At 36.0% G+C, this 13752-nt stretch overlaps 1 annotated feature.

Moving 5' to 3' along the window:
- Positions 10772 to 10921: an enhancer, noted in NCBI's record as "active region_8308". NCBI's record gives its function as "activates an Ori minimal core promoter by ATAC-STARR-seq in GM12878 lymphoblastoid cells {active_cell/tissue: GM12878}" and the evidence as "EXISTENCE:reporter gene assay evidence [ECO:0000049][PMID:35858748]".

Here is a 13752-nt window from a genome sequence, read left to right on the forward strand (position 1 = left end):
TGGAAAACAAAGATAAGGTCTTGAAGATATACATTAAAGGCATATTCTTCTTAAAAACATTTACATGTTGCTTTCAAAATTTTACATTTATCTAACCCATAAGTCTATTTTTCCCTCTTCTACATAATAATGACTACATGATTAAATGCATTTTAGGATTTTTACATTCGTAAATAATCTTGTCTTTCTGATGAGCATGTGTGTTGGTTTTATAAATACTTTACAATTTAAAATTTAAAAGTGCCATATTTGCCTATGATGTGAGAAGTTTCTTTTTTTTTTTTTTAGTTATCAGTGGGAATTATACACATTTTCTTTTGTCGCTACAAGCTACCACCTTATATGGCATCTACTAAATGATTCATATTTAGCATAGATAAATTGAATAAGAAATATAAATGATAATTCCATTCCTTTAGGAAATAAGATCACTTTCCTTTTTAAATTTCACTCTTTGCGAGTCTATCAGCCAAAATCGTCAAAAAAAAAACCACTGTTAGTATAAATGTCCCGTGGGATTTTATCACTATCTAGCTAACCAAAATAGGAAACACTAATGGGTTTTCTGAGAAAGATTTATATACAGCATCAGCTACTTTAAAAGGCAAGGTACATTTATAACATCTTTTATGTACCAGTGTACCTTTTGAATATACATCATGTTTTGGGGATAAAAGACTTTAAATGTAAGTATTCAAATAAAATCAGGTTATTGATTCATTCAACAGCCGATCTGCTACCTCATAATTGCATTTTATGAAAACCATTGTGTCAAATACTTGAAGCTGTTCATCCCAATTTTAAAAATAGCAAAATATACCATGAAAGAATGACAAATCTGGAATCAATGGTGTGAACTGAAAACTCAAGTATATTTCTAATCCTTTTGGAAATCCTTGATCATTTCAATTGCCATGTAGGATAAAGAAGTTCAATGACTATCAAAATAATTCTAGATAATACTTTGCTTGGGGAAATTTAGAAACTTATGCTGATTTAAACGTATATTACTTTCCCCTTTTAACTGGAGTTTATCCCTCTGTTTCTATGTAAATAAACAAAATCAAGTCAGATACACATCAGTTATTAATCTCCTGATTTTAGCATTTCTGCTCTTTGCAAATTTACGTTGATCTCTGCCACTTTATCCTTTTCATTCCCTGAATTTTGAAGAAAATCACTATTAACTATGTTTAAATAAAACCAGTACCAAACACTACCTCAGATATCTCCCTTCATATAACAGGAACAACATTCTAGGGACAACTATGCTATTTTAAATTCCAATTAATTAATTAATTAATTAAATTTTGCTACATACCTAGGCTCCAAATCAATTGTGAAAGTAATAGATTAGACCCATGTACAGATGAAAAAACACATGAATCTACGTGTTCACTTCAAAACACTTTGGAAAAAAATGTTTGAGTTGGGAACTTGAAGGTCTTGATCAAGATATATTAAAGACTCCTATTGGTTTTACCAGTTTTTATACACAGATCTAGACTTCCCAATTCCCTAAGAGTTGAAGTCAATGAACACTGGTATGAATCACACTGGACAGATTTTCAAAGCAAAATGTAGCTAAATAAATATAGTGTTTCATCTTATTTTTTCTCCTCCCTTAAAACAATATGCTTATTAACTAAATCCCAAAATATTCTAGGTTGTTTTATCAAATTCAAACAATGCTGAAGCATATCAAGAAAATAACTGTATTAGTTCGTTTTCACACTGCTGATAAAGACATACCTGAGACTGGGCAACTTACAAAATAAAGAGGTTTAATGGACTTATCATTCCACATGGCTGGAGAAGCCTCACAATCATGGCCGAAGGCAAGGAGGAGCAAGTGATGTCTCACATGGATGGCAGCAGTCAAAGAGACAGAGGGAGCTTGTGTGGGGGAACTCCTCTTTTTAAAACCATCAGATCTCATGAGACTTATTCACTGTCATGAGAACAGCAGGGAAAAGACTTCCCTCATGATTCAGTTACCTCCCACCTGGTCCCTCCCACAACATGTGGGATCAAGATGAGATTTGGGTGGGGACACAGCCAAACCTTATCTTTCTGCCCCTGACCCCTCCCAAATCTCATGTCCTCACATTTCAAAACCAGTCATGCCTTCCCAACTGTCCTCCCAAATCTTAATTCATTTCAGCATTAAGTCAGAAGTCCAGAGTCCAAAGTATTTGTACTGAGACAAGGCAAGTCCCTTCCGCCTATGAGCCTGTAATATGAAAAGCAAGTTAATTACTTCCTAGATACAACGGGGGTACAGGCATTGGATAAATGCAGCCATTCCAAATGGGAGGCATTGGCCAAAAGAAAGGGGCTACAGGCCCCAAGCAAGTCCAAAATCCAGTGGGTCAGTCAAATCTTAAAGCTCCAAAATGATCCCCTTTGACTTCATGTCTCAAATCCAGATTATGCTGATGCAAGAGGTGGGTTCCTATGGTCTTGGGCAGCTCTGGCCCTGTGGCTTTCCAGGTACAGCCTCCCTCCTGGCTGCTTTCATGGGCTGGCATTGAGTGTCTGTGAGTTTTCCAGGCACACAGTACAAGCTGTCAGTGAATCTACCATTTTGAGCTCTGGAGGATGGTGGCCCTCTTCTCACAGCTCCACTAGGCAGTGCTTCAGTACAGACTGTGTGGGGGATCTGACCCCACAGTTCCCTTCCACAATGCCCTAGCAGAGGTTATCCATGAGGGCCCCCACCCCTGTAGCAAACTTTTGCCTGGTCATCCAGGCATTTCCACACATCTTCTGAAATCCAGGCAGAGGTTCCCTAACTTCAATTCTTGACTTCTGTGCACCCGCAGACTCGCTGCCAAGGCTTGGGGCTTCCACCCTCTGAAGCAACAGCCCAAGCTGTACTATGGCCCTTTTTAGTCATCGCTGGAGTGGCAGAGATACAGGGCACCAAGTCTCTAGCCTGCACTCAGCACTGGGACCCTGGGCTTGGCCCACGAAACCATTTTCTCCTAAGCCTCCTCGCCTGTGATGGGAGGGGCTGCCATGACCTTTTGACATCCCCCGGAGACAATTTTCCCCATTATCTTGGGGATTAACATTTGGCTCCTCATTGCTTATGCAAATTTCTGCAGCTGGCTTGAATTTCCCCTCAAAAAAATGGGTTTTTATTTTCTACTGCATCATCAGACTGCAAATTTTCTGAACTTTTATACTCTGCTTCCTTTATGAAACTGAATGCCTTTAGCAGCACCTAAGTCACCTCTTGAATGCTTTGCTGCTTGGAATTTTCTTCCACAAGATACCCTAAATCATCTCTTTCAAGTTAAAAGTTCCACACATCTCTAGGGCAAGGGCAAAATACCAGCAGTCTCTTTGCTAAAACATAACAAGAGTCATCTTTGCTCTAGTTCCCAACAAGTTCCTCATCTCCATCTGAGACCACCTCAGCCTGGACCTTATTGTTCATATCACTATCACCATTTTTGTCAAACCATTCAACAAGTCTCTAGGAAGTTCCAAACTTTCCCACATTTTCCTGTCTTCTTTTGAGCCCTCCAAACTGTTCTAACCTCTACTTGTTACCCAGTTCCAAAATCACTTCTACATTTTCAGCAATGCCCCACTCTACTGGTACCAATTTACTATATTAGTCCATTTTCATGCTGTTGATAAAGACATACCTGAGACTGGGCAATTTACAAAAGAAAGAGGTTTAATTGGACTTATAGTTCCATGTGGCTGGGGAGGCCTCCCAATCATGGCAGAAGGCAAGGAGGAGCAAGTCATGGCTTACATGGATGGCAGCAGGCAAAGAGAGAACTTGTGTAGGGGAACTCCTCTTTTTAAAACTATGAGATCTCATGAGACTTACTAACTGTCATGAGAACATCAGGGGAGAGACTTGCCCTCATAATTCAATTACCTTCCAGCGGGCCCTCCCACAACATGTGAGAATTCAAGATGATATTTGGGTGGGGACACAGCAAAACCTTATCAAAAAAAAAATACCTCTTAATTCTACTTCCAAGTTATTCACTGTTATACTAATTCCTAAGAACCAGCTATCAACTAATTTAAGAATTCTAAATTAATTATTTCAAGTTAATGTTAATTCAACCCCACACACCAAGCTTAAAAGATTTGGGAGCATAAAACTAACGGATACTAATCAATAAGATCTTAATTTTAATAGTAAATTTGAGAGAAAAAAATTAAATCTTGGACCTTCAGTTTCATCTTAAGATAGTGTGGCTTTGAACTAGCTAATATTCAAATTCTCTTTCAACTCTAAATATTGATTCCACAGTATTATTTCTAAGTAATAGTAACTGAGCATAACTTTATAAATAACACTTTGATTAGAATTAGAGGAGGTATAAAAGCATAAGATGGTATTCCTTCCAATACAAATTTATAATATACAGGTAAATCAAAATATACATCTAAAATAATTAGTAAAATAACATTATTAAAATATATTTCTGATAAAATCATTACATATATAAGCAGCAAAAGTAATTAGGGGTTGTCAGCTCAAAGACTCAGAAAAAGCATTTGACAAAGATCTCACATCCGTTCATGGAAAAAACTTAATAAACTAGGAATATGAGGGAATTTTCTCAAATTGATGAAAAACAACCATGAGAAAACCCAGAGCTAACATTATACATAAATGTTAAAGACTGAATGCTTGCATTCTCACAACTTCTTTTCAACAATGCATTGGAGATCTTAGCCATGGAATAAGGTAAAACACACAAATAAAAAATTAAGGTGTACCAATTAGAAAATAAGTAAAATTATTATTTTTGGATGACTTGACTTTGTATATTGAAAATCAAAAGAAATTCCCCCAAATCAACTAGAAGTAACAAGCAAATCTGGCAAGGTTGTTTGATACAAGATCAATATTAAAAAATCAGTTGTATTTTTATATATTACAACAACTAGTACATAAATGAAAATAAAACAATTCCATTCATAATAATATGACAAAGAATAAACTATATAGGGACAAGTTCAATAAAAGAAGTAGTTTTAGGACAGGTACACTAAAAACTGCATAACATTGCTGAGAAAAATTAAAGGTCTAAATAAATAAAAAGTCTTTACATGTTTATGGATTGGAAGACTCTAAATGTCAAGATGGCAATTCTCCCAAAATTGATCTATAATACCAGCCCAAAATCTCCTTAAGCTGATAGGCAACTTCAGCAAAGTCTCAGGATACAATATCAACGTGCAAAAATCACAAGCATTCTTATACACCAATAACAGACAGAGAGCCAAATCATGAGTGAATTCCCATTCACAATTGCTTCAAAGAGAATAAAATACCTAGGAATCCAACTTATAAGGGACGTGAAGGACCTCTTCAAGGAGAACTACAAACCACTCCTCAATGAAATAAAAGAGCATACAAACAAATGGAAGAACATTCCATGCTGTTGTGAAAATGGCCATACTGCCCAAGGCAATTTATAGATTCAATGCCATCCCCATCAAGCTACCAATGACTTTCTTCACAGAATTGGAAAAAACTACTTTAAAGTTCATATGGAACCAAAAAAGAGCCTGCATTGCCAAGTCAACCCTAAGCCAAAAGAACAAAGCTGGAGGCATCACGCTACCTGACTTCAAACTATACTATAAGGCTACAGTCACCAAAACAGCATGGTACTGGTACCAAAACAGAGATATAGATCAATGGAACAGAACAGAGCCCTCAGAAATAATGCCGCATATCTACAACCATCTGATCTTTGACAAACCTGACAAAAACAAGAAATGGGGAAAGGATTCCCTATTTAATAAATGGTGCTGGGAAAACTGGCTAGCCATAGGCAGAAAGCTGAAACTGGATCCCTTCCTTACACCTTATACAAAAATCAATTCAAGATGGATTAAAGACTTAACTGTTAGACCTAAAACCATAAAAACCCTAGAAGAATACCTAGGCAACACCATTCAGGACATAGGCATGAGCAAGGACTTCATGTCTAAAACACCAAAAGCAATGGCAACAAAAGTCAAAATTGACAAAGGGGATCTAATTAAACTAAAGAGCTTCTGCACAGCAAAAGAAACTACCATCAGAGTGAACAGGCAACCTACAAAATGGGAGAAAATTTTTGCAATCTACTCATCTGACAAAGGGCTAATATCCAGAATCTACAATGAACTCAAACAAATTTACAAGAAAAAAACAAACAACCCCATCAAAAAGTGGGCAAAGGATATGAACAGACACTTCTCAAAAGACATTTATGCAGCCAAAAAACACATGAAAAAATGCTCATCATCACTGGCCATCAGAGAAATGCAAATCAAAACCACAATCAGATATCATCTCACACCAGTTAGAATGGCGATCATTAAAAAGTCAGGAAACAACAGGTGCTGGACAGGATGTGGAGAAATAGGAACACTTTTACACTGTTGGTGGGACTGTAAACTAGTTCAACCATTGTGGAAGTCAGTATGGCGATTCCTCAGGGATCTAGAACTAGAAATACCATTTGACCTAGCCATCCCATTACTGGGTATATACCCAAAGGATTATAAATCATGCTGCTATAAAGACACATGCACACGTATGTTTATTGTGGCACTATTCACAATAGCAAAGACTGGGAACCAACCCAAATGTCCAACAATGATAGACTGGATTAAGAAAATGTGGCATATATACACCATGGAATACTATGCAGCCATAAAAAAGGATGAGTTCATGTCCTTTGTAGGGACATGGATGAAGCTGGAAACCATCATTCTCAGGAAACTATTGCAAGGACAAAAAACCAAACACCACATGTTCTCATTCATAGGTGGGAATTGAACAGTGAGAACACGTGGACACAGGAAGGGGAACATCACACACCAGGGCCTGTTGTCGGGTGGGGGAAAGGGGGAGGGATAGCATTAGGAGATATACCTAATATTAAATGACGAGTTAATGGGTGCAGCACACCAACATGGCACATGTATACATATGTAACTAACCTGCAGGTTGTGCACATGTACCCTAAAACTTAAAGTATAATAAAAAATAAAATAAAATAAAAAATAAAAGTTTAGGACACAAGCACGTTAGCCTAGTCTACACAGGGTTAGGATCATGAATAGCACTGTCTTCCACTCCACATCTTGTCCCACTATAAGGTGTTTAGGGGCAATAACAGACATGGGACTTTCATATCATGTGACAACAAGGCCTTCTTTTGGATACCTCCTGAAGGAGCTGCCTGAGACTGTTTTACAGTTTTTTAAAAAATAAGTACATGAAGTACACTTTAAAATAATGATAAAAGTATAGTATAGTAAACAGATAAACCAGTAGCATAGTTGTTTATTTTCATTATCAAGTACTATGTACTGTACATAACTGTATGTGTTATACAGTAGGTTTGTTTACACCAGCATCACCACAAACACATAGCACAAACGTGCTATGATATTAAGATGGCTATGACATCGCTAGGCAATATAGATTTTTCAGCTCTACTATAAATTTGTGGAAACACCATCATGTATGTGGTTTGTCCTTGACCAAGACATCATTATGCTGTACATGACTGTAAATAAATTCTACTACTGTTCTAAACAAACAAAGAAACAAAAATATAGTGAAACCTCTATCAAAATCTCAGCAAAGTATTTTGTAGAAATTGGTATACTGTTCGTAACATTTGTATTAATATTCAAAGGATTTAGACTAGCAAGAGCACTTTCTTCAGAGAAGAAATTTGGTGGACAATCAAGCATTCTAAAGTGAGCAAAGTATTTCAGTAGGCATTTCATCAGAAAAGATATATAAATGACTGCTAAGCCTAAGTGTAAAGATACTTACCATTAGAGGAATAAAAATGTAAAACTCTACAAAACACGACTATACATGCGTTGGATGATTATAATTTAAAAAGGGAGATAATACCAAGTGTTGGCAAGTTCATGTTGAAACTAGAACTCTCAAACATTGCTCAGGGATGTAAAAGGATGTAGCCACTTTAAAAACAATTTTGCAGGTTTTTATAAAGTTAAATAAACATACAAATAAGTAGTTTGACTTTTAAGAAGATACCCAAAAGAAATGAAAACACATTCTCTCACAAAGTTGTGAATGTGAATGTTCATAGGAGCATTATTCTTAATATCCAAATGTCCACAACTAATAAAAGATACAGAAAATATTATATATCTCTGCAATGGAACACTGTTCAGCAATAAAGAGATGCTGTACTCATTTATGCTACAACATGAATTAATTTCAGAAATATTATACTAAATAAAAGAAGCCAAGTGCAAAGAAGTGCATGTTGCACTCTTCCATTTACATGAAATATCTAGAAACAGCAAATATGTACACAGAAAGCTGATCAGTGGTTGCCTAGAGCTGGAAGTGAGTGTAGAATATTGCAAATGAATTTGGAGAACCTTCTGGGGATAATGGAAATGTTCTTAAACTAGAATGTGGTGTGGTTCCCCAACTCTATTCATTAACTAAAAATTATTGATTTGTATACTTTTAACAAGTGAATTTTATGGTATATATGTATTATATCTTAATAAAGTTGTTGAAGAAATCAGTTATAAAATAATGCAGGATGGCAAGAAGTCGTTGGGTGGGTATAGGTAAAACTAGCTGGTGATTCATTGATAATTGTTAAAGCTGAAAATGAATGTGTGGGATCTTATTTCAGTCTTTTTCTGCGTTTGTACTTCCTTTAAATTTTCTTTGTGTTTGTTTATTTGAGACAGGGTCTGGATCTCACTCCGTTGCCCATTCTAGAGTGCAGCGGCATGATCACAACTCACTTGCAGCCTCTACTCCCGGGTCAAGCAGATCCTCCCACCTTAGCTTCCTGATTACCTAGGACTACAGGCATGTGCCACCAGCTAATTCTTTTTATTTTTTGTAGAGATAGGGTCTCCCAATGTTGCCCAGGCTGATCTTGAATTCCTGTGCTCAAGTGATCCTCCCTCCTTGGCCTCCCAAAGTGCTGAGATAACAGGCTTTCTTTTAAATTTTCAAAAATAAATAATTAAATTTTAAAATTAAGTCTTGTTGTCCACTCTACATAGGGGAACTAAGTAAAGAGAAGGTTTCAATGTTGTATCTAAGAGTTTTAAAACACAGAAAGTATCTTCCTTAGTGTTCTCTTGGAAGTGTCTGCCTCTATGTGAGAACTAACCTGTCAAGTGTTCCCAAGCTGCTCAGTTTGTGGAGCAAGAGGGTCAGTGGAAACACACAGGAGTTGAAGACTTCTTGAGCAGAGGGAAGACATGAAGCTGAGTTGTAGCCAAACCTCTGGTGGCAAGCACAGAGGGCAAAATCATTGTATGTCAGCCTTAAAGAAAATATCACTTTGCCATGTAGCAAGTGATAGGCCTCTAAAAAATATGTGCCATTTTCCTTATCTTTATATTCAACTTAAAACACTTCAAAGAAAATGGGTTTCTCATATCCCTCAGGATAAACATCAAATTCTTTTAAGTTTTCCCAGCAACTACCCACCACATCAGCCTCATTTCTAACACTGTGTCCCATGAACTTAAATGCTCCAGATTTCCCAAACTTTTTTTTTTTCTGAGCACTAAACTACCCTTCAGCATTCTCTCATCACTTATCTTTACACTTATGGTGTCCTTTGCTTAGAAAACGTTTTTCTAAACGTGTCTCTGCTGGGCTATACCCTAGCAATCTGCCAGTTCAGGGATTACACATCACTATATCAGGAAAGCATTCACTAATTCCTTGAATTCAGCTACTACTTCTGTGCTCTCTCTTAGGACCCTGACCTTCCTCTCACAGTAAATTATTGTAATTGTCTGTCTTCCCAATGCTGTAAATTCAGGAAAGTATCTTCAGTGGCTTGCAATGTGCTTAGCAATCAGCAGGCATTTAGCAAAAGTTGTGTTCAGGATTAAATTAAATAACGTATATATTCACCTCCTCAAAAACTTTATATAAAATTTATGTGTAGCATATAGTGGGTGTAAAATAAACACCTGTTCAGTGAATGAATGGATGAATGAATGAGTCTGTCTTTCATTAAATACAGTTGATCAAACAATCCAAGGTATGAGTTCAAAGAAAATCAACCTTTAAAATATAACTGTACTGACTAACTATACAGTAAATTTTCTGTAAGGCTCAATGTAAATATAAATAAAATAGAATTCCTTTGTTTTATTATGTTTTATTCAATCTTCTTTAAATAGAAGAAAATATAAAATATTCCTTTAAAAATCTTACGCAATTTAAATAGTATATATTGTGTTCTTCATGGGGAAAGCAACCTTGATGTCTCAGTTATAATAGTTTCAAGTATCCTTGGGCAGTTATTTTTAGTGTCGGGTTTTGTTTAAACAGAAACTGCAGAGAAATATCTTCGAATATAAAAATTTCTAATATTTAAATAAATACACAAACATTCATGACTTTATTCTGGAATGGTGCTGGAAGGAATAATGCAGCAAAATCATGACAAAAATATCTATAGCTTTTTCATTTGATTGGTCTCAGATTATTGTGAGCTATATTATGATAAAATAAAGCTATAATTTTATAACTGTTACTTAATAAATGTATAGAAGTATAGTACACAAATTGAAGGCCTCTGCCTGTGGTGTTCTAGAATAAATTAACAAACCGCAGAACATTGAAGAATTTCTTTTTATCAAATGAAATAAAATGAATAAATTGTGTTCATTGTTTGACTTTGTGTTATGTAAATGTTAACTTAAAGCAGCATATTTTCTTTTGGCTATTTATCTTCTACGTTGAAGTAGCAGAATCCCATGCAAAGAGACTTCTTTGAAAGATTTATAGCTTAAGGCATGTAATAAGGCCATGCTGTGTTTATCTCATTCCCTCTAGAATCACTATGCTATTTCTGCTGAGTAGTGATACAGATTGAAGTATTTTAAGATTCTACAGGGGATGTCCTGATGTGATTATGAAGCATTGACTGTTTGTTCCTTCTTTCTCTTCCCACTTGATGCTATACAAATTCATATGCCTAGTTTCACTGGTTAAAAACAGTCAGTTGACTTCTCTAACCCGGACTCCTATTGAAAGCCCAGGTTTGCTGTTCTGAGTAATAGTGAAACTTACCACTTTCAATTTCAAGGTCTGCATAATGTCTCTGATTCCCCCAAACATAAAACCCTATTCAGAACTTTTAAAGGGTGAAAGTTTCCACTTCCAGTACCTAAGCAGAAACCATGAAAGAGGGGATAAAGAAGGGGGTCCTCAACAAGCCAGCTGTGCAAATTAACGGAAGGATTATGGTTACAATAGCCAAATACCCACCCCACATAGTATTTTAACTAGGACGGTTTTTAAATGAAGCTTATTTTCATCAAAGTAATCCATAAATATGTAATATAAAAATCACAAGTCTTACAGAAATACACAGGCGCCTTCCCCCACCAACCTCTACAGTTTGTCCCCATAAAGCCACCTCCTTTTAACTCTTTAAACTCTTTTTTCCTCAAATATTTAACTTCAGATTTCTCATGATTTTTATGCTGCTATTTTTTCAAGTTATCAATTTTGAGTATTTACCTATTTATCCTGTGAAAGATAAAGATTTAGAACTCTAAGCAAAGTCATATGTATGCTGCACTTTTTCTTGCACCATCTCCTGAAGTTATATCAAAAATCAAGTCAATATTTAATTTAAAATAACTATGAATGTGTAACTAGAATTTAAGTAGTGCACTACAATTACATTTATTTCCTTGTAAAATCATTTTTCCCTAGAGTCAATAGTTTGTCATCATTCTTTCATTGACTTAATTTTCTATATATGTAATGCTATTTTTTCCCAAATTGGCAGTAAAAAATTTAAAATTTTGTAGAGGACACTAAAGATAGAATACACCAAAACTCTTTTAAGTCCTCTCCTCCTACGCTTTCTTTAATTTAGAGTCTAGAAAACAAATTCTCATCTTCACAGAATACATTGTAATATGACCCAGTCCTTGGCAGTGACGTGTAGGTGGAACTTACTGGGTAGACCTTCCAAGAATTTTCTGTAAAATGTGAGATTTGATTTTTGTACTTCTTTGACCTTCTGCTTTCTTACCTTCCTGTCTAAAGCAAACGGTTTTTTTTTTTTTTTTTTTTTTGTCTTCCTGCTTAAAGCAGTGAATTAGATGCCTGACTGTGTTTGTAACCATGAGACAATAAGGAGATCAATATTTATACTCTTGGGATGTCAGGTGTTATGGGTTGAGTTGTACCCTTCCCCACCCCACCCCCAAATTCATATGTTCACTCCTAACTGCCAGTACCAGAACGTGAACTTATTTGGAGACAGGCTCATCGTAGATAAAATTAGTTAAAGGTGGGCGTCTAATCCCATATGACTGGTGTTCTTATAAAAAGTTGAAATTTGGACATAGATCCCCACATAGAGAGAAAACACCATGTGAAGATGAAGGCAGAGATCAGAGTAATACAGCAGAAGCCAAGGATTGACAAAGATTGCCAGCAAACCACCAGAAGCTAGTAGAGGGGCATGGAACATATTCTCCCTCACAGCCCTCAGAAAGACCCAGTGTTGATCTTGGACTTCTACCCTCTAGAACTGAGACCAAAAAATGTCTGTTTTTAAGTCACCCAGTTTGTGGTACTTTGTTATGGTAGCCCTTGCAAACTAAAACATCAGGGCATAATGCTGGAAGAAGCATGAGTCTCTGATGATACTGAGACCTAGAGTGTCTAGCTCCTATCCAGTACTGTTGTGTGAGACATGAGACGTATAATCCTTTATTACTTAAAGCTGCTGTTTGCTGGGTTTTTTAAAATTATGTAAACCTGCCACTTCTTAACTGATACAACTGCTTTCAATACTATCTTCAATCTGTAAAATGCATCAGATAATCTATCACCAACACTTTTCTCCACAACAGCTACCTCTTGAAACTCTCCATTCTGTCAATCCATTTTAGCCACGTTGCTTGCTTCTCATGTTGAAATCTTCCATATGGGAATGCTCCTTTATCTTTATTCTTGGAATTCCTTCTATTCTGTTGTGTGCTTGATCCCATGTTTCTTACAGTCCAGATTTCTTTTCTCAAAATTAAGCTCCTCATCTAAGAGCTCCCTGAGAAACAGTACAAGGGAGAGAGGAATTTCCTGAAAATTTACACATTAGAAAATATATTTATTCTGTCATTGCCATGTTTGATAATTTGGTTGCACAAAGAATTCTATATAGGTTAATATTTTCCATAGATTAATTATAATATTTTTCTCAGAATTTTGAAGGTGTCATTACAGTGACCTTCAGAGAGTTCCTTTGAGAAGCTCAGTATTCTAATTCCTCTGCCTCTGTGTCTCTCTTTTAGACACAGGTACACAGAGACACACACACACACACAACACATACACATACACAAACAAGTTTAAATGTCCTTGGCTATCCGATATTTCACAGTTGTGCTCTTTCTTTAGTTTTTTAAATGATTTTTCTGAATGATACATACACCTTTCTACCTGGATTCTGAGAAACATTCTTCTGTTTTTATTTGTACATTATACCCCCATTCATTTTCTTTGTTTTCCATTTCTGAGAACACTATCATCGGATAGTTGGCCTCCTAGACTTGGGCTCTAATTATCTTTTTGTTCAATTCAGTATTCAATCTCTTTTTTTTTTTTGGCTATACTTTGTGGAAAATTTCATCAACTTCTTGTCTCACCTTTCTGTAATCCCTTTTTCTTCTGACTTACATATTTAACTTTCAAAGGCTATTTTCTAT

The sequence above is a fragment of the Homo sapiens genome, chromosome 14 (assembly GCF_000001405.40).
Source record: "Homo sapiens chromosome 14, GRCh38.p14 Primary Assembly".
NCBI lineage: Eukaryota > Metazoa > Chordata > Mammalia > Primates > Hominidae > Homo > Homo sapiens.